The sequence below is a fragment of the Homo sapiens genome, chromosome 5, assembly GCF_000001405.40.
Source record: "Homo sapiens chromosome 5, GRCh38.p14 Primary Assembly".
NCBI classification, from domain to species: domain Eukaryota; kingdom Metazoa; phylum Chordata; class Mammalia; order Primates; family Hominidae; genus Homo; species Homo sapiens.
The window spans coordinates 80,903,507-80,925,690 of NC_000005.10; the positions used below are offsets into that span (position 1 = coordinate 80,903,507).

Sequence of the window (22,184 nt, forward strand, 5' to 3'; positions counted from 1 at the left end):
TGTCTGTGCTCTGTTGTATTGATAATTATTTTAACAATATCTAATATCACTTATAATATTACTATCAATAGTAGTAAGAAATGATAAAGTATCTTATTACTTTCATACTTACTTCCCAACAACTTTGTTTCTCTGATTCAGGAATAGTATCAAGTAGCTTAAAAAATAAAATAAGCTGGGTGTGGTGGCTCATGCCTGTGATCACACCGCTTTGGAAGGCTGAGGCAAGAGGATCACTTCACCCCAGGAGTCTGTCTGAGACGATCCTGGGCAACATAGTGAGACTCTGTCTCTACAAAAAATAAATTAGCCAGGTATGAGGGTGTGTACTTTTAGGTCCCAGCTACTCTGAGATGGAAGGATCGCTTGACCCCAGGAGGTCAAGGCTGCAGTGATCCTTGATCGTGCCACTGCACTCCAGCCTGGATCACAGAGCGAGACCCTGTCTCAAAAATAAAATTAATTAATTAATTAAAAAGACAGTTGAGACTTTAATTTCCAGTTCAAATGGAGTAAGCAGCACATACCACTTTACCTTTCCCAATGATTACAACCAAAAACCCTTGAAAGAAAACATAAAACAATTAGGAGTCTGAAAAGTAAATAACAGGCAGACTGGGGAGGGAAGTAAAGACTGAGGGATAATCCATACAGAGGTGAGGTCCTGGGTTTTTGTGTGTTTCTCCTTCCTCCTGTATCTCCTGGCCTATAGACTAAAATGTCTAGTGCACAGTGGGTGTGGACAGAAAAAGCTCTAAGAGAAACCTTCTTGTTACAGGACTAGGAAGGGAGACTTCCTGTGAGGTGGATATAGTTGGAGAAATCCTCTGGGATTTTTCCTCTCCCAGCCCTTCCCCAAGTCAAACCACAGTCCTGCAACTTCCCTCCTGCAGTGGCAGAGATAGTGGTGGCAACAGCAGCAGCAGGAGATACACGGGCACCTAAAACTCTGAAGGAGAAATTCTCTCTGACCATAAGAACTCATAAATGGGGCCCTGTTATTTCCGTTATTGTTGTTGCTCTCTGTTCTTTCAACACTTTACACTAGACGTGGACTCAGTCATGAAAAGTGGACTACAATGCAAGGGGGATAAAACTTTGAATTTCTACTTTTCTAGCCACACAAGCAGAAAAAGAGGCTCTTGGCAGCAGGAGAGTATGGGGGAAATCACAGAAAAGAGGAAGCTCAAGGAAAAGTTCCTAAAAAGCTGTGTATAAAGTCCTTGGCTCCACCCCCAGCTGCTCATGCATGGAGCTGACCCAAAGCAATATACCAAAGGCTCTGAGAACTGGCTGTGGTGTAGACTACCACCAGAATGACCACCTGGGTGATGCACATGTGAGGCAGATCCAAGTAGCACTGCAAAACCTTTGGAAACTGAAGTGACACTAAAGCCACAGCTTACTAAAGGTATGTCCAAACTTATGATCTGAACCAACCAGGTTAATTGGCAGCTAAAACAACAAAGTAAACATTCACCAAAGGACTTTAACAAGACTCAGAGACTTGTAAAATATATGTAACATTCAGGAATAATCTAAAATTGCTCAACATATAAGGAACCAGGAAAATCTCACCAACTTGCAAGAAACAAGCCAGTCCCAAAATGATTCAGATGTTAAACCTATCAGACAGTGACTTCAAAGCAGCTATTACAGCCAAGTTCCAGGTATAGCTACTCACAGGTCTGAGGTGGAAGGATCACTTGAGCCCAGGGTGTCAAGGCTGCAGTGATCCTTGATCATGCTACTGCACTCCAGCCTGGGCAACACAGTGAGACCCTGTCTCAAAAAAATTAATTAATTGATTGATTAATTAAAAAAGGAGTTCAGACTTTAATTTCCAGTTCAGATGGAGTAAGCAGCACATATCACTTTATCTTTCCCAAAGATTACAACCAAAAACCCTTGAAAGAAAACACAACTAGGAGTCTGAAAAGTACATAATAGCAATAAGAGAGCAGTAAGAAGAGAGAACACTCTTGAAATGAAAGAAAAATTATCTGCAGAAAAATAGAAGCTACAAGAAAGTGCCATGGGGAGTGGGGAATGGAGAGTTGTTGAATGGATATGGAGTATCAGTTTTGCAAGGCAAGAAGAGCTCTAGAGACTGCTTGCGCAACAATGTGAATGTACTTAACACTACTGAACTGTATACCAAAAATGGTTAAGATGGTAAATTTTATGTTACATGTATTTTACCAGAATAAAACTAAATTGGTATGTACTTACCTAGAAAGATGTTCATAATATAGTTCTAAGTAAAACTAAATTATGTTTCACAGTGAAGGAAGGGAAAGAAGGCAGGAAGGAAGGACAAAGCGGTTATGTACAAACTGAAAACTACATAATTGAAATTAAAACCTTTGCTGGATGGACTCATTTGCCGAATGGAAATGATAAAATAGTGATCTTAAAAGGTCAAGATCAAGATATATTATCCCATTTGAAACAGAGAGGAAAAAAGATTGAAAAAAATAACAGACTTGCATACCTGTGGGACAATATCAGAAAGATTAACATTTATGTCTTTGGTGTCCCAGATCAGGAGGAAGATACTGCTGCAGATGAATATTGAAAAAAATAAAGGATAGAAACTTTAAAATTTGGCAAAAGACATGAATGTAAAGATTCAGGAAGTTCAGGAAACCCCCCAAACAAGATACACTAAAATCAACAACAACAACAAAAAAACTACATTGAGATGCATCCAAATTTACTTGCTGAAAATTAAAGATTTTTAATTGCTGAAAAATTTTAAAATGTGGGCAGGTGTGATGACTCATGCCTGTAATTCCAGTACTTTGGGAGGCCAAGGCGGGCAAATTGCTTGAGCCCAGGAGTTCAAGACCAGCCTATGGCAAAGCCCCCATCTCTAAAAAAAAAAAAAAATACAAAAATTAGCCAGGCATGGTGGTGCACACCTGTAGTCCTAGCTACCTAGGAGGCTGAGGTGGGAGAATTGCTTGAGCCTGGGAGGTGGAGGTTGCAGTGAGCCGAGATTGTGCCACTGCACTACAGCCTGGGCGACAGAGTGAGACACTGCCTTAAAAAAAAAAATTGAAAAAGAAAAATGACACATTACATATATAAAGGCGAAATGACTAAAATGACTGGATTTCTCATCAGAAATCATGGCGGTCAGAAAGCAGTAGAACATTTTTTTGATGCTGAAAGTAAAGAAGTGTCAACCCAAAATTCTATATTCTGTAAAATTTTCCTCAGGAATGCAGGCAAAATAATTCCTTCCCAGAAGAAGGGAAAATAATGCAGCTGCACTAAAAGAAATGCTAAAGGGAATTCTTCAGGTGGAAAGGAAGTAATACCAGAAGGAAACTCAAAACTTCAGGAATGAAAGAAGAGCAACAGAAACAGTAAATATATGGATAAATATACTTTTTACTCTTCATAATTTCTTTAAAATATGTATAATGGGTGCAAGCAAACACTGTAACATTGATGGTGGGATTTTTGGTGTATGTAGATAATAATACACATGACAACTGCAACATAAAGGGTGGAATGTAAAAGGACCTGTATTGTTGAAAGTTCCCCACATTTTATTTGAAATGATAAAATATTCTTAGCTGGTTTTAAAAGTTAAATACATATATTGGAATCCTTAATCATTAAGAATATTATTAAAAGTATATAGTTATTTTTGGCCAGGCGCAGTGGCTCACACCTGTAATCCTAGCACTTTGGGAGGCCAAGGCAGGTGGATCATGAGTCAAGAGATCGAGACCATCCTGGCCAACATGGTGAAACCCCATCTCTACTAAAAATACAAAAATTAGCTGGAGGTGGTGGTGCGTGCCTGTAGTCCCAGCTACTCAGGAGGCTGAGGCAAGAAAACTGCTTGAACCCAGGAGGCAGAGGTTGCAATGAGCCAAGATCATGCCTTTGCACTCCAGCCTGGTGACGGAGCGAGACTGTCTCAAATACAAAAACAAAACAAAAAATATATACAGTTATTTTTAAAGCCAAGAGATAGAAAACCAAAAGATATTCAAATAATTCAAAAGAATCCAGGAAAGAGCCAGGCACGGTTGTTCATGTCTGTAATCCCAACAGTTTGAGAGGCCAAGGCAGGCAGATTCTTTGAGCCCAGGACTTAGCAGCCTGGGCAACATGGAAAGACCCCATCTCTCCAAAACAAAATATTAAAAAATTAGCCAGACATGGTGATGTGTGCATGTAGTCCCAGCCACCCAGGAGGCTGAGGCAGGAGGATTGCTTGAGCCTGGGAATCAGAGGTTGCAGTGAACAGAGATCATACCACTGCACTCCAGCATGAGCAACAGAGCAATTCCCTCTCTCAAAAAAAAAAAAAAAATTCAGAAAAGGAGAAAAAGGAATGAAGAAAAAAAGGAGAAAAACAGAAAACAAATAATAGAATGATAGATCCAACTATATTAACAGTTACATTAAAGGTAAATGTTCTAGAAACACCATTTAAAAGCCAGTTTGTCATTTTGGTTAAGAATACAAGACCCAACTATATGCTATATATTAGAAGTCCACTTTAAATGACGTAAGTATGTAAAAAGTAAAAGGATGGAGAAAGATATACCATGTAAAGATTGGCTGAGCACAGTGGCTCATGCCTGTAATCCCAGCACTTTGAGAGGCTGAGGCGGGCAGATCACCTGAGGTCAGGAGTTCGAGACTGGCCTGGCCAACATGGTGAAACCCTGTCTCTACTAAAAAAAAAAAAAAAGCCAGGTGTGGTGGAGGGTGCCTCCATGAGAGGCTGAGGCAGGAAAATTGCTTGAACCCAGGAGGCTCACTAGCCAAGATCCTGCAACTGCACTCCAGCCTGGGTCACAGAGTGAGACTCCATCTCAAAAAAGAAAAGATACACCATGTAATGACTAATCAAAAGGAAGCTGGAATGGGTATATTAATCAGATAAAATAGACTTCAGAACAAGGAAAATTAACAAGTTTGTAGAGGTAAATTGCATACTAATAAAGTGGTCACTCAAGACATAATAATTCTGTATGTATGCAGCTAACAACAGAGTGTCAAAATACTGTACATAAAACAAAAACTAATAAAATAGGAGAAATAGATAATTCTGCAATTATAGATGGGAATTTCAGTTTTCCTCTCAGTAATCAATAAAGCAAGTAGACAGAAAATCAGCAAGAATGTAGAAGGCTGGAAAACCATTAGCCAAAAAAGAAAATTCCAGGCTCAGATTTAAGGAATAAATAAGACCAATTCTATACAATCTCTTACAGAAAATAGAGGAGAAAGAAATAATTTGCAACTCATTTTAAGAGCCAGCATTACCCTAACATTACTAGAGAAAGATATTTCAAAAATAAGATCAATATCTTGAACACAGACGCAAAAATCCCCAACAAGATATTGACAAATTGAATACAGCAATATATAAATAAAATTTTCTTTCAGGAATGCAAGGTTGTTCCCACATTTGAAAATCAATGTAGTCCACCATATTAACAGATTGAAGCATAGAAACATGATTTTATGAATAGATGCAGAAAACCCATTTGACACAATTCAACATCCATTCTTTTTATTTATTTTTTTAAGACAGGGTCTCACTGTAGCTCAGTCTGGAGTGCAGTGGTGGCAATCACGGCTCACTGCAGCCTGGACCTCCTGGGCTCAAGCAGCCCTGCCTCAGCCTCCTAAGTAGCTAGGACTACAAGTGCCCACCACCATGTTTGGCCAATTTTATAACTGTTTATAGAGACAGGGTCTCACTGTGTTGCCCAGGTTGATCTTGAACTCCTGGGCTCAAGCAATCCTCCCGCTTCAGCCTCCCAAAGTTCTGGGATCACAGGCATGAGCCATTGTGCCCAACCTCTACATTCTTTATTGATAAAACTCAATGGAATATGAATACAAGAGAACTTCCTTAATTTAATAAATTGAACTATAAAAAAAACTTGGCAGCTAACATAATTCTTTTTTTTCTTTTTTGAGATGGAGTTTCACTCTTACTGCCCAGGCTGGAATGCAATGGTGCGATCTCAGCTCACCGCAACCTCCGCCTTCCGGCTTCAAGCGATTTTCCTGCCTCAGCCTCCTGAGTAGCTGGGATTACAGACATGCGCCACCATGCCTGGTTAATTTTGTATTTTTAGTAGAGACAGGGTTTCTCCATGTTGGTCAGGCTAGTCTTGAACTCCTGACCTCAGGTGATCTGCCCACCTTGGCCTCCCAAAGTGCTGGGATTACAGGCATGAGCCACCGCGCCTAGCCGCTAACATCATTCTTAATGGTGAAGGGCTGATTAATTTGCCTAAGATTGGGAAAAAGGCAAAAATGTTCTTAGCATTTCTGTTTAACATCGTGCTAAAAGTCCTGGCCACTGTGATGAGGCAAGAAACAGAAGTAAGAGGCATACAGATTGGAGAAAATAAAACAGAACTTTCTCTATTCACAAACAATGTGAGTGTTTATGTAGAAGATTTGAAGGAATCTGCAAAAAAACTGCTAGAACTAATTAGCACAGTTAAAATATAGAATGCATGATTAACATATAAAAATCACATTGCTATATGTTAGCAATGAGCAATTCAACGTCATTTTTTTATTTTAATATCACAGTTTTTATTTAAACTGTACTTACAGTAACAAATACAAGCAGAGTTAAGACCAAACACAGTTGGTCCTTGACAAATATATAAAACATATAACTCAACTGATGTAGCTCTCAGCTCTGCTAGAGAGCAGTGTACAGCAGCAAGCAGTTAGCATATGGGGGACTTCAGTCATTGTGGCAGTTGGGGGTAATTGGGTAGTTGACTGCTTAACTCAGGGAATTGGAATATATATCTGTTAATCGGGGTAGTTGGTTAAATGGGTTGCTTAAGAGTTTCTAGTCTATCTTGTTCTGCCCACTTCTTGGTCTTTCCAGCCCCTGGAATTGTATAGCAAAGCACTCCCTCACTCTCTGGATCATATAGATCTCATGTTTAACTTCTTCAGAGTGTACATTCTTTGTCCCTTATTCAGCTTTGTATTTTCAATGTAATATTGCTTACACAGTTTTCTAACATTCTGAGACTTAGTGAAGATTTGCAAGTATAGTACAAAGAACTACCCCTGCCCAGCTGTTTGAGAGTAATTTACTGACCCGAGCGTCTTCAGTGTGGAGTGCTTGAGTTTGTGTTTCCCACAAACAAGGACATTTCATGTTAACTATAATTGAGCTCTCAGAATCAGGAAGCTAAACGGGATACATAACTACCATATAATCCTCATACCCCATTCAAGTTTTTTTAAATGTCAACATCAACATTTTAAACGAAGTACTATTTATAATAGTTGCCCCAAAATAAAATACTTCGGTTTAAGTCTAATAAGATATCTGTGGAATCTATATGCTAAAAACTAGAAACACTGATTTAAAAAATCGAAGATCTGAATAAATGAAGAAATACTGTTCATGGATTAGAAGACTCATCCCTAGTTATGATTTCAAATCTCCCTAGTATATCTATAGTATTAGTGAATTCTAAGTCAACTCCCAAGCAAGACCTTTTGTAGATATAGACAAGATTGTTGTAAAATTTAGATGAAAAGGCAAAGTAGCTTTGAAACAAAAAATTGGAAGACTCATCTTACTTGATTTTAAGATTTACTGTAAAGGTACAAGAATTGAGATACTGTGACACAAGATGGTGTGACACAAGACGGTAACCACGTAGATTGGTGAAAAAGAGTCCAGAATTAAACCCTCACAAATACAGTCAATTGTTTTGTTGTTGTTGTTGTTGTTTGTTTAGAGACAGGATCTTCTCACTGTGTCACCTAGACTGGAGTGCACTGTTGTGATCATGGTTCACTGCAGCCTCGAACTCCTGGGCTCAAGCCATCTTTCTTGCCTCAGCCTCCTGAGTAGTTGGGACTACAGGCATGTGCTACTGCCCTGGGCTAATTTATTTTTATTTTGAGACAAGGTCTCACTTCGTTGCCCAGGCTGAAGTGCAGTGATGCAGTCTTGGCTCACTGCAACCTCTGCCTCCTGGGCTCAAGCGATTGTCATGCCTCAGCCTCCTAAGTAGCTGGGATTACAGGAGTGCACCACCACACCTGGCTAATTTTTTGTATTTTTAGTAGAGATGGGATTTCACCATGTTGTACAGGCTGGTCTCGAACTCCTAGCCTCAAGTGATTTGCCTGCCCTGGCCTCCCAGAGTGTTTGAATTACAGGTGTGTGCCACTGTGCCCAGCCCTAATTTGTTTTGTTTCTTGTAGAGATGGGGATCTTGCTTTGTTGCCCAAGGTGGTCTCGAACTCTAGGCCTCAAACAATCCTCCTGCCTCAGCCTCCCAAAGTGCTAGGATTATAGGCATGAGCCACCACGCCCAGCCTATGGTCAACTGACTTTTCACAAAGGAGAAAAGGTAATTTTTAGGAGAAAGGATAGTCTCTTCAACAAAAGATTAGTTAGAACAACCCGGCAACCACATGTAAAAACCTCAGGTATACCTCACTTCTTGTACAAAAATTCACTCAAAATGAACTGTAGACCTACATGTACAATGTAAAACTATAAAATTACTAGGAGAAATTATGACCTTGGGTTAGGCAAATAATTTTTAGATATGACACTAAATATAATGAAATTTTTAAATGGATAAGTGGGTCTTCATAAAAATAAACTTGTCATCTGCAAAATACACTGTTAAGGGAATGGAAAGATGACTTGGAAAAAAATACTTGCAAATCACATATCTAACAAAGGGCTTATAGCCACAATATATAAAGAACTCTTAAAACTTAGCAATAAGGGAAAACTGAATAAAGAATGGGCAGCAGATGTGTACAGACACTTCATGAAGGAAGATATATGAATGACAAAAAAAATCACATGAAAAGATGAAGAGATGTACACCATCATTTATTAGAGGAGTGCAAAAGAAAACCATGAGATACATCTGCACACTTATTAGAATGGCTCGACACACACAGCTGACAGTACTGGAGTCCTGGAGATGATATGGAGCAACTGGAACTCATAATCACTGGTGGAAGTGCAAAATGGTACAGCCACTTTGGAAAACCATTTGGTGGCTGCTATTAAACATACAGTTTCCATGTGATTTAGCAGTCCCACTCCTAGCTATTTACCCTAGAGATATTCACACAGAAACCTGTACATGAATGTTTATAGAAGCTTATTCATAATGATCCATAACTGGAAACAATCCAAATGCCTTTCAATTGTTGACTGGATAAACAAACTCTGGTACCTCCATACAGTGGTATACTTTTCAGCAACGAAAAGGAACAAACTTTTTTGTTTGTTTGTTTTTTGAGATGGAGTCTCATTGTGTCGCCCAGGCTGGAGTGCAGTGACACTATCTCGGCTCACTGCAACCTCAACCTCTACCTCTCGAGTTCAAGTGATTCTCTTGCCTCTGGCTTTCTAGTAGCTGGGATTACAGGTGCGTGCCACCACACCTGGCTAATTTTTGTATTTTTGTAGAGATGGGGTTTCGTTCATCATGTTGGCCGGGCTGGTCTCAAACTCCTGACCTCAGGTGATCCACCTGCCTCAGCCTCCCAAAGTGCTGGGATTACAGACATGAACCACCACACCCGGCCAAAAAGGAACAAACTATGGATACACTTAATGACATAGGTACATATTTACATGTATTGATTCCATTTATGTGACATTCTGGAAAAGGCAAAAGGGAGGAAGAACTGATTAGTGGTTAGCCCAGGGTTAGAGTTGGGGAGAGGATATAATGAGGGAACTTTTTTGGATTCTGTACCATGATTATGATTACACAAACCTATGCATACATTGAAACACATAGAACTATACGTTGAAAAAAGTGAATCTGCCTGTATGTAAATTTAAAAGAAAAATATTTTTTTAAAAAAACAGATGCTTCTTAACACATTATCATCTATGTCAGTTTAACAGTTAGTAGACTTAGGCCAGGTGTCATGGCTCACTCCTGTAATCCCAGTGCTTTGGGAGTCTGAGGTGGGACGATCTCTTGAGACTAGGAGGGAGTTTGAGACAAACCTAGGCAATGTAATGAGACTCTTTCTCTACAAAAAATTTTAAAGTTATCTGGACATGGTGGTGCCTGCCTGTAGTCCCAGCTACTTGGGAGGCTGAGGTGGGAGGATTCCTTGAGCCCAGAAGTTCAAGGCTACAGTGTGCTATGATAGAGCCACTGCACTCCAGCCTGGGCAACCAGGTGAGACCTTGTCTCTAAAATGAATAAATAAATAAATAAAACAAAAACAGTTAATAGAGTTAAAAAGTAAGGAAATTCTGACACATGCTACAACATGGATGAACCTTAAAGACATTACGCTAAGTGAAACAAGTCAGTCACTAAAGACAAATGCCATATGATTCCTTATCTGAGATACCTACAGTAGTCAAATTCATAGAGATAGAAAGTAGGACGGTGGTTGGGGGAGTGGGGAAAATGGGCAGTTAGTGTTTAATGGGCACAGAACTTCTGTTTCAGATGATGAAAAGTTCTGAAGGTGGATAGTGCTGATAGTTGCACAACAATGTGAACTTACTGAATGCCACGGACCTAACATTTAAAAATAGTTAAATGGTAAATTTAATATTATGTATATTTTATCACAATTTTAGAAAGTTAATAGATTACATAATATTGCTTATTCACAGGTCTTGATTTAGAAATGCAGGAAAAATATCTTTATGTACTCCTCATTTTGCTCATTTTGAGTTCTTTAAACATCAAAAAAGTTAATCCATTAACTATTTCAAATAAGTCATATATGATTTCTGTATAATATGTTGCCATGGAATTTTGTTAATCACAGAGTAAGTTAAACTATGCTATAAGAGCAAAAAGCTTGCTTTGAATGCTTCTGCAAAGCCCTAGGCAACAGGAAAAGCAATATTTCCTCCCTTAATTATTACAGGGAGGTCACTGATCGTTACATAATTGCCCCGATTCTCATCCTGAGGATACAAGAAAGAATGCTCTGGAAGAGGGCTGCTTTGCAAGGACATGATCAGGCTGTGTCCTGGGAGGACTACAATAGAGCTTTAGAAGGTATAGGGTTTGCCCACAGTTTAAACTAGCTTCTCAACAATAGAACTCTATGCTTTTTCCAACTAGGACATATGTGAACTGTGCAGGTTAGGCTATTGTGGTTGTGTGAGAGCTCTCCCTTGAGCCAGCCTAACTCTAGATGAAAAACAGAATATGAGATGTTGAGAGGATAAAGTCCTTCCTGCATTCAGAAGGGCTTAAAGCCGAGGAAAGAAAAGAGAGATGTATCCCAGGAAATGGTATTTTTTAATGGCCATTTCAAATCGTTTTAATATTGTTATATTGTTTATTCTATCAAAAATATTTAACAAAGAGGAAAATAATAAACGTTGTACGCTGACTTTGTTCTTCAGGCAGCATATCATCATAGGATAAATGGCAAGGTCTGCCTGCTGTGCTTTTAATGGCAACAGAAAAACTGAAGCAAGACTGCTGTCATAAAGCTTAATGCTAATTTTTGTATTTTTAGTAGAGACAGGGTTTTGCCTGTAATCCCAGCCACTTGGGAGGCTGAGGCAGGAGAATCGCTTGAACCCAGGAGGTAGAGGTTGCAGTGAGCCATGATCGTGCTGCTGCACTCCAGCCTAGGCAACAGAGCAAGACTCCATCTCAAAAAAAAAAAAAAAAAAAAAAAGCTTAATACTGAGTCACAAATGTTCATGACCGTATTTAAGAGAATGAAGGCTAAATGACACATCCATCTTTTTGGTAGGTTGCATTATCATTTGAAATATTTGTTGCCCCTCCCTGAGTTCACCTTCCTGCAGAAAGATGATAACTTACCTGGCTGTTAAGGTCTAGCACACTCAATTTGCTTGCTCTATGCCTAGAGCATTGTGAGGAAAAGTGACATATGTCACTTTGGAGGAGAAACATTAAGAACAAGCACCTGGTTTGCTGCATCTTTTATTCCTCTACTATAAGACCAGCTACAGCCAAAATAAGACCTGCTCTATGAGTCTGGGTCTATGTGTGGAGCAGATTTGCAGCTGACCCATAATAGGCGTATGATGTGAGCCGGAAATAAACCTCTGTTTATTTGGGGTTGTTTGTTCCTGCATCATTACTTTAGCTTATCCTGACTGTTGCATTTTCCATCCAAATAACAGCAGCATCATAAACATTTATATAATTTGTATAACAGTTTGCTTAGGCTTCTTATGTACCTATTTACCCTTTCCCAAAATCCAAATTTACTCAGTTTCATCTTCTTGACAACAGAATCCCAACTTCATTCCAGCTGCAATATGCCCAACCCCAGCATGTGTCCAACTACAGTTCAATTATTCTAAGCCAATCACAGCAACTCAGTTCTCCCTTGAAAGTCATTGGCCTAGGGGTTAGCATATGAGTCAGTTCTGAACAATGAGCCTTAAGGAGAATCTGCCTAAGATTTCAGGAGTATCTTTCTTTTCTGATAAGAGCAGCATGCAAAGTCAGAAAGCCTTTTTTGTCCTCTTCCCATCACTTTCAGCTTTAAAAGCCATAATAGAAGAATGTGGTGCTCGAGCTCTGACCATGAAGATAAACACCAGTGTGCCCTGAAAGCAATGGAGTCAAGGATAGAAAGAGCTGGATCCTTGACATAACTGAACCATCCACTCACCCACAGGACTGCCTACCTGGACTTCACAGTGAACTGTTAATGTCTTTATGGTTTAAGCCATATGTCTGATTTTTCTGTTTCTTGCTGCCAAAATCATCCTAACTGACAAAACCTTCATGGACACAGCATTGTTCACATGGCCCATTTCACAAGGAGTTCATCTTTATGACTGCCCCAGATAGGCCTTGAATTTACCAGTTACTTAAAAAAACCACAATGAGAGTCAAAGGAATTTTGGGCCTTTGCTTAATTTGACTGCTCTAAACCCAGCTCAGACCTTGATGAAGTCCTCTTTAATATGCATTGAACAAAACCATCAGCTCCCTGTGGTCATTTATTGTAGGTCCTTTGTCTCTATAAGGTCCTAGGAGCTACCTAGTCCTGTTTCTTCCCCCTGCCCCACCCCCTCCCCATCTCTACCACCAAACCCCAATGTACAATTTCAACAGCAAAACAAAGTTAAGCCAGAAGAGCTGCCAGTGTCCCTGTCTTGAGCTCTCCCTATTGTATCCTAATGCTGCAATAAGATGAGTGCAGAGGGACCTCATGGCTTAAGCCCCAAAGAGTACTATGTGCATCGATCCTCAATCCTCGCTCCCAGTCACCGAGATGAGCAGCAAATGCCTCAGGGTAGATCATGGATTTGGGCAAATAGGAATGCATCTAAATGCTCAACAGAAGTTTGGTTTTTTCAGTTTCTTGGAATAGTCTCCATGTTGGCCTTCTGTTATCATCTATTATTTCCAGATGTTCCTTGTTTTGTTTTGTGTCTAGTTTTCTACTTCCCAAACCATGTTTTGCTACTCAACCTTTTTCTTATGTCTGTGTTTGTGGACCCTAGAAAAGGTCTCAGAAATGTGATCTTCTTTTAATTTTTCTTGGTATCTTTTTTCTTTGTGTCCTCGCAGTGTGGTTTCTGGACACCATGTAGGAGTGTTACTTTGATTTCAGGTTTTTGGAAACACATAACAAATATCTCAATTTTTCTGGCACTACTTTCTTTTCATCTTTGTTTTACATCGTGTATTTCACTTCTGCCAAAAATGTTATTTTGATACTTGGTGTCCCTTTTTATTGTCTTTGCTACCATATTCTTGTTAATAAGAAAGAAATATACAAAACTTGTACGGTTACTTAATCCTGGTGGCTGCTTTGAAAAATTCCACTCAGAACAGTTAAGCTGCTGTTAAGCTAATACAGTTTTTTTGTAAATGGTCCAAATTGATCTTCATTAAATAACTTCCTGTTTTTAATTTGTACTATCCTATTTTAATTTGCTTAGTATAAATTAGGTAGTAATTGGCTATGAGATATTTGCAGTCTTTCTCTACTTTCTATTTCCTGCATTTTATAGTTAGACTGCCCCTAGGTCAAGTTTTGTTGTTACTCAGCACCTGTGAGTTCTTAGCATTCTTTCTTAGATTTATGCTTTGAATTAGAAAAGCTTTACCAAAAAAAAAAAAAAAATCTGTTTTCTGCATGTTGTCCCATAAAATTTTCTTTGGATGCACGAATGCACGAAGCTCTTACAGAGTTTAATGGTTACTTCACCTTGTTGATTTATTGTGGTTTTTTTGCTGGAGCATTTTCATTCTTCTATCAGCTTGCAGAAACCTTGAAACATCTGTGTGGCAACATGGAAGTGAAAAGCACATTTAACTGCTTTGTTGCTGCGTATCATGTGGCAAATAAAAGCCATAGGCCTTCAATGTCCCAGGCAGCCAGTGTTGTACAAATGGCTTGTATTCTAACAGTCTATGCTAGCTGGTTATTTGAAGTGCATTTCCCCATGGAAACAAGGATAAGAGGGGCACTTAAGTTTCTAGGTTAGTTCATAAAAGCCTGTTCTACCCAGAATATAACTAAAATTATGTGCATTGCAATGAATAAGAGCAGAATATTGTAATATCGGTAACCTAAGTAGCCAGAAAAGTCACAAAACTCAATAAGAAAGAAGCTTTTAAAAACATTTACTGAATGGTGATTGTCAAGGAAAAACAAATTTAGCTAGATAGGGATGTAGAGAAATACTCTTATCATTCCAACAGGGATGATTGAAGGACGTGACACTAGTTTTATTTATTATATATGTTTCTCTTTAAAATAAAAGTAAACAACTTGGCATAGTTTCAAAATATTCTTCAATATACTTTTTTAAATAATCAGGTAAAAGATGATAAATGTAAATTTAATAAGAACTTCTTTTGATTTGTTTTGTTTTGTTTTTTTGATAGAGTTGTGCTCTCTCACCCAGGCTGGAGTGTAGTGACGTGATCATGGCTCACTGTAGCCACGATCTCCTGGGTACAAGCAATCCTCCCACCTCAGCCTCCCGAGTAACCGGGACTACAGGTGTGCACCACCATGCCCTACTGAATTTTTTTAATGCTTATTTTTTAGTAGAGACGAGGTCTCCCTATGTTGCCCAGGCTGCTCTCAAGCTCCTGGGTTCAAGTGATTTACCCACCTTGGCCTCCCCAAGTGCTGGGATTACAGGCACGAGCCACTGTGCCCGGCCAAGAAAGTTTTAAGAAGTGAAAAACATCGTGGTTTCCTTCTTGTTTGAGAAAGTTATATCAAAGACACTTTTTATTTCATTTAGCAGCCATGACTTCACCCTCCTTTGGTCCTTTCATTAAAGGAACAGATGAGGGTTCATTGTCTGCTAAGTGACAGGTGCCGGGTGGAATATGGCAGCAACAAGAGAGACCAAAGAGTGGCACATTGGTTTATTGAGAGAGTGAACAATATCTGTGGCAGAGATTTTCCAGTGCAAATGGGGGCAAGAAAGAAAAAAGTGAAGGAGGAAGGGAATTCCTAAAGACGTAGATGGGAGAAGATTTCCTGAGAAGGAATGAATTGAGCTGGGAATGCAAAAGGACAAGATGGAGAAGGTAACTAGAATATTGGACTCACTGGAGAGGAGACAAGAAAGTAGGGAGAGAGACAACTTAGATCAGACAGTGATCACCCAAGCTGAGGGGTGACGTTGTCCACCCCAAAACAACTTCTTGTGACCTAAGGTGAGAAGAGTGAGAAGGGATGGGGAATCAATTTCAGCACAATTAAAGGGAAGGAGCTGTTTTGCAAGATGGATGTTAGAAGCTATAGGAAGTAAAGCACAGGAAAAAGGCTGATTTGGCAGAGATTTTGCTCAGATAAATTCCATGGTTTCCAAGAGTCAATCATAAGAGATCCTTTGAGAAATGTCCAGAAGTTGCCATTTTTATCTATTTCTTCGCAACAAAATGCTGTTTCACATTTATTATAAGGTGATAATGTGTGATAATAAATTGACTAGTTTATTGAGGGGACAGAGTTGGAAAGAGCTAAGTAACTGGGGCCCCTGGAAACACTGAATCAAGAAGTGTCACTCTCTGCAGGGAGGGCAGGAGCTGAGCTCATGAACTAATACCTTGCTCACCCCATTCCTAGCCTCCTTGAGTTGCAGATGCTTTTGGTGATATATCCTCATTTTCACTTTAAAGAGTTCTTAACATTTGTTGTAAATGTATTTAAAAGATTCACCTAGTTAGACCTGTACCCAGTCCCTGCACCCCTAGAAAGATAGCCCATCACCCGTAATTCCCTTAAAGGGCCAGACGAGCTCAGAGACTAAGAGCCGAGAGTGGAGCCAGAACACCTGGGTTTGAATCCGGACTCAAATGACACAGTCATTTCCCAGCAGTGCTGTGTGACTTTGGGCAAGTTACTTAACTTCTCTGGGCCCAGTCTTCATATGTAAAGTTGTATAATAATAGTACTTAGATCATAGGGTTACTTTGGACATTGAATGGGTTAACAGATGTGAAACTCTTAGAAAAATGCATGGCTCCAACTAGTGTTAACTTTAAAAAGCAAAACAAAAGAAAACAAAACTTAAAATTCCTTTGCCGGTTACTCATATTAACAAAAACAATTACATATGTTGCTGTATGTATATTCATTTACCTTCAGAAGCATTCTAGTAAATGCGAGCCATCATGTGAATGGTAAGAGGCTGGCTTAGCCCCTCTGGCTTAGCCCCTCTGGCTTAGCCCACCTCCAGCACCAACTGTCAGAAGAGCTCTAAGACTAATGGATCTAAACCTAGTTCACTTTAAGTCATTGACCAGCTTTGTTGATTGCATTTTGCTGTAGCAATGTTAGAAACCATATACATTAAATGCTCCTGATCTTCCTCAGAGATGGCCCTGCTCAAAGATGCTGATAATATTTATCTGTGTGTGGATGTAGCTAAATTTCTTTTAAGTAAGTCCATGGAGGAAATAAAAAATACCTCATAACTTTCCCTTTCATCTTTGGATGCCTTCCTTCCAGCAGAGTTTATGTGGAACAAAAACCTGTCTTTCTAGCCAGTTCTGGCCCCACACAAGCCAGTGATGTAATCAAAGTTCATCCTTGGGGCACTTCCTACCTGGGCTTTAACCCCTAGTCTGATCTCTGTCACCATACCTACTCTATACCCTCATCCTCACCTCTGTCTTAATGAAAATATATTGAACATATTTTAAACAGGTAAATAAATGTTAGAGGCCCAGTGTATAGCTCCTATCCTGGGAAAAGCCTGCCTGTCGCTTATTCTTCTCCCATGGAAGGCCTTCTCTACATCCTATCTTTCTGCATTTAGATAAAATATGCCTAATTCCAAGGGATTTTGTGAGGGGGGGCAGGAGGAGTTATCAATAATATAGTGGACATAAAATGGGATATTTTAAGGGAGAAGGAAAAGAGGAAAAGGTGTGGAAAAAAAAAACCCAAGAGCAACAAAGTAGTGGGGGAAACCACAGCAGAAAAGGCATTAGAGAAGGAAAGAGAGGCGAAGTAGAGAAGAGAGTTAGCTCCTTTTGTGGTCAGCGTCATGAGAAGCAAGTTGAACAGGGCAAGGTTTAGGAAAGGGTCCTCTGGCAGATTTAGGAGGTCAGGTAGGGAGGATTACTGAAAAGCCTTAGTTGTGAACTACACTGAGGCAACAATATGGTCCATCCAACTGGGGGCATGGCAGAGGTGTTAAGTCAGATTGGCAAGTGGCCCAAATTGTTGGTCAGGCTCTGGCCAGGTAAGCCAATTGGCCAGAGGTCAGCACCATGGATAGTCCCAAAGGATTTGTGGACTCTGGAGAGAAGTGAAGAGAACCCTACATATTTGGTGACAGACTAAAGTTTGGTGTTTTTTTTAGCTCAGCCCCTAAGGCTGTTTTGGTTCTACCTATATTCAAAAACAACATTTATTGAGCACCTATTGTGTGCCAGACACCCTTACTAGTTCTGGAGAATGACAAAGAAATGAGATGATACTGTCTGCCCTTAAGAAGCTTACTACTCCCTGGATAAACTAGAAATTTTTAAAAATGAAAATAATGATATGGCCCTCTTGAGGGAGGAGGGTGGGAAGAGGGAGAGGATGAGAAAAAAAATAATTGTTGAGTACTATGCTTAGTACCCAGGTGACAAAATGCTCTGTACCTCAGACTCCTGTGACATGAGTTTGCCTGTATTAACAAACCTGCACATGTACCCCTGAGCCTAAAATAAAAATTAAAAAGTGAAATAAAGAAAATAATAATAGCTAATATTTATTGAGCAATTACTATATACAAAGTACATAATTCTAACTGCTATACATAAATTATTTTATTGAATTCTCTCAACAACCTTATGAAGGAGGTATTAGTATCCTTATAGATGATGAAGCTGAGGCACGTAGAATTTAAGAAACTTTCTTTGTTACGTACCTTGTTAGAAATAAAGCCAGGATTTAAACCCACACACTCTGACTCTGTGTCCATGTTTTTAATTACCACACTATCTTGTCTGCAGTTCGTAACAATAGTAATAGATATCATCTATTACCTGCACCGTGCAGCGATACATGCAAAGCATAGGGGAACACGGGAGGTGCGCTTAAATCAAAACTGGGGCTGGGAACAGGGGACAAATTCAGGGAAGTTATTTACCAAAGGTGGTGCCTGGCCCGAGCCTTGAGAAAAGATGCATGTGTCATGGAGAAGGTGTAGCAGAAAGCACAGCATGCTTAATCTGACAGTGCCAGGCCTGTTGGAGGCCTGAGGTGCCAATTAACTGCCCCCTCCATGCCTCAGATTCTGACTGGTGGATAAGGGATTGAAAAAGCTAAACAAGGACCAAAGTGTGAGATGTACCTGATTCCTTCCAAAACACAGAACTCCCCTGCGGAGGTTTGGAAAACAGTGATAGAATGAAAGATGTGTCATTTTGCCTTTGCATTCCTGTACCTCAATCAAAGAGGAATTGAGATTTTAGTACAGTTTTTGGATACAAGGTCAATATTCAATAAGCAGTACCCTTTAGACATGGAAATCCTCAACAAAATATTAGCAAAAGTAAATCCAGTAATATGTAAAAAGGATAATACATCATAACTAACAGGAGTTTATTCTGGAAATAAAAGGTGGATTTAACATTTGAAAACTAAACAATGTACTTGGCCATATTAACAGACTGAAGAAGAAATACCATATGATCATCTCAGTAGATACTGAGAAAGCATTTGTCAAAATTTAACACTCATTCATGATAAAAGCTTTCAGCAAGCTAGGATTAGAAAGGAACTTCCTAAAACTGATAAAGAGCGTCTTCTTAAACATTTACAGCTAATAGTCTTTTTTTTTTTTTTTTTTTTGAGACAGGGTCTGTTGCCCAAGCTGGGCAGTGCAGTGGTGTGATTGCAGCTCACTGCAACCTCTGCCTCCTGGACTGAAGCAACCCTCCCACCTCAGCCTCCTGAGTAGCTAGGACTACAGATGTGCCACCATGCCCGGCTAATTTTTGTATTTCTTGTAGAGATGGAGTTTTGCTATGTTGCCCATGATAGTCTCCAACTCCTGGGCTAAAGCAATCTGCTATCTCAGCCTTCCAAAGTTCTGGGATTACAGGTGTGAGCCACCATACCTGGCCAATATTCTTAATTATAAAAAACTGAATACTTTCCCCCTAAGATGAAGTGCAAGGCAAGGAAATCTTTTCTCACCACTTCTATACAATATCATACTGGAAATCTTAACCAAAGCAAGAAGGCAAGAAAAAGAAAAGGGGTACAGATTGGAAAGGAAGAAATTAAATAGTTTCTGTTCACAGATGACATTGTTGTCTATAGAAAACCCAAAGGAATCTACCAAAAAAAAAAAAAAAAAAAAAAGCCCTAGAACTAATTGACGTCAGTTTTGCAAGTTGTGGGATACAAGGTCAATATACAAAAATCAATTGTATAAAATTTTATACTTTTTTGTTTGATACAGGGTCTCACTCTCTTGGTCAGGCTGGAATGCAGTGGCACAATCATAGCCCACTGGAGCCTCAAACTCCCAGGCTCAAGTGATCCTCCCATCTCAGCCTCCTGAGTAGCTAGGACTACAGGCATGCACCACCACATCTGGCTAATTTTTAAATATTTTGTAGACACGGAGTCTTATTATGTTGCCAGGGCTGGTCTTGAACTTTTGGCCTCAAGCGATCCTCCCAAAGTGTTAGGATTATAGGGTCAGCCACAGTTTTTGTATTAAAAAATAGAAATCCGAATCAGAGGACAGCACCATTTACCACTAAAAATAAAATACTTAGGTAAAAATCTAACCAAATAGGTGTTGAATATTTTATACTGAAACTATTAAACATTGATGAAAGAAGTCAAGAGACCTGCGTAAATGGAAAGATATTGTGCTCATGTATTGAAAGACTTAATCTTATTAAGATATCATTTCTTCCCCAAATTAACCTATAGATTCAATACAACCCTAACTAAAATCGTACCAGGTATTTTTGTAGAAATGAAAGGCTGATTCTAAAATTTACATGAAAAGGCAAAGGAACTAGAATAGCCAAAACAAATTTGAAAACAGAAGAACAAAACTGAAAAACTCTGATTTGAAGACTTTCTATAAAACCATAGTAGTCAAGACAGCATGTTACTGGCAAAAGAGTAGACATATAGATCAGTGGAACAGAAAAGAAAGCCCAAAAATGGATGCAACACAACTGTAGTCAATTCATTTTAGACTAAGGTGCAAAGGCAATTTAATAGGGAAAAGATAGTATTTTCAACAATTAGTTCTGTAAAAATTGGATATCCACTTGCCAAAAAAAAAAGTACTTCCACACATACTTCATTCACACTTCATATAAGAACTGACCCAAAGTGGATCGTAGGCCTAAATATAAAACATTATACAATTATTAGAAGAAAATACAGGAGAAAGTTCTCTTGGGTTGAGCCAAGAGACTTTAGATATGGCATCAAACCATGATCCATAAAAGAAAATTTAGGTAAAAACCAGAACAGACACTTCACTAAAGAAGTGACTGCATCATTTTATATTTCTACCAGCATTGCTTGAGGGTTCCAATCCACATCCTTGCGTACACTTATTTTCTGTTTTTTTTAAAAAATTATTATAATCATCATAATGGTGTGAAGTAGTATCTCATTGTAGGTTTGATTTGAATTTCCTAATAACAAACGATGCTGAGTATCTTTTCTTGTGCTTATTGGCCATTTGTATAACTTCTTTTGAAAAATGTCTATTCAAATCCCTTGCTCACTTTTTAATTGGATGGTCTTTTTTTGTTCGGTTTAAGTGTTCTTTATACATTCTGGACACTAGACCCTTATCTGATATATAATTTTGTGTGATAAAGAATTTGGCTGGCTTTTGTCTCTAGCTCCTGGGAGGTAGCATTGAAACCCTTGGAATTTCCCAGGGGACAAGAATGTTTTTGTTATTTATGGTGGGCACCTCAGACCATACCTGATAGTTTATGCTATGGAGGTGATTCATGGTAGACTCCTTAAGCTAAAATACACTCAATCTTTTTGATATGAACCATTGGACCAAATACATCTATTATGGACTTAATGGGGTTATATTCCTTTTTCAGTTACACATTCAAGTTTAGAGACATTATAAATGGCATTTAAATAACAATGGTTTGCAATTGGTAAATAAGTAGGTTCACCACAATTCCTCATAATAACCTTTTATATCTCAAAGGCAGTTTTTGTCACCTCTTAGCCTTCTTAATCCAGGCAAAATAACTGTGAGGCCTCTTTCCATTTCTTTAATAATTCTGATGTATGTCTTTTTTCAAAAATTGTAAAGCCTCTTTCAATTTCTGTAATAATTCTGGTGTATGTCTTTTTTTCAGTGCTTAGAAGATTATATTCTTTTAAATTGTAAACATTGGCTCTAAATTCATGTTTTGTCGCAATTCCTTAGAATAGTATGTTATGAGAGGTAAAAACTGCCTTTGAAAATATGTAAGTAATACAGTCATCCCCTCTTATCTGCTGTTTCACTTTCCATGGTTTTAGTTACTGGCAGTACAGTACAATAAGCTATTTTGAGAGAGAGAGAGAGAGAGAGAGAGAGAGAGAGAGAGACTACATCGATATAACCTTTATTACAGGATATTGTTATAATTGCTCTATTTTATTATTGTTGTTGTTAATTTCTTACTGTGCCTAATTTACAAATTAAAATTTATCATAAGTATGCA

General features: G+C 38.9%; 1 long non-coding RNA gene across 1 annotated transcript in view; it reads left to right on the forward strand.

Annotated features, from left to right (window-relative positions):
* Positions 1 to 18,420, forward strand: part of LOC107986428 (uncharacterized) — a 32,170-nt gene extending 13,750 nt beyond the window's left edge. Inside the window, exon 2 of the long non-coding RNA XR_001742759.2 lies at positions 1,119 to 18,420. This is a non-coding gene — a long non-coding RNA (uncharacterized LOC107986428). The remainder of the gene's footprint in view (positions 1 to 1,118) is intronic.
* Positions 18,421 to 22,184: the final 3,764 nt, after the last annotated feature.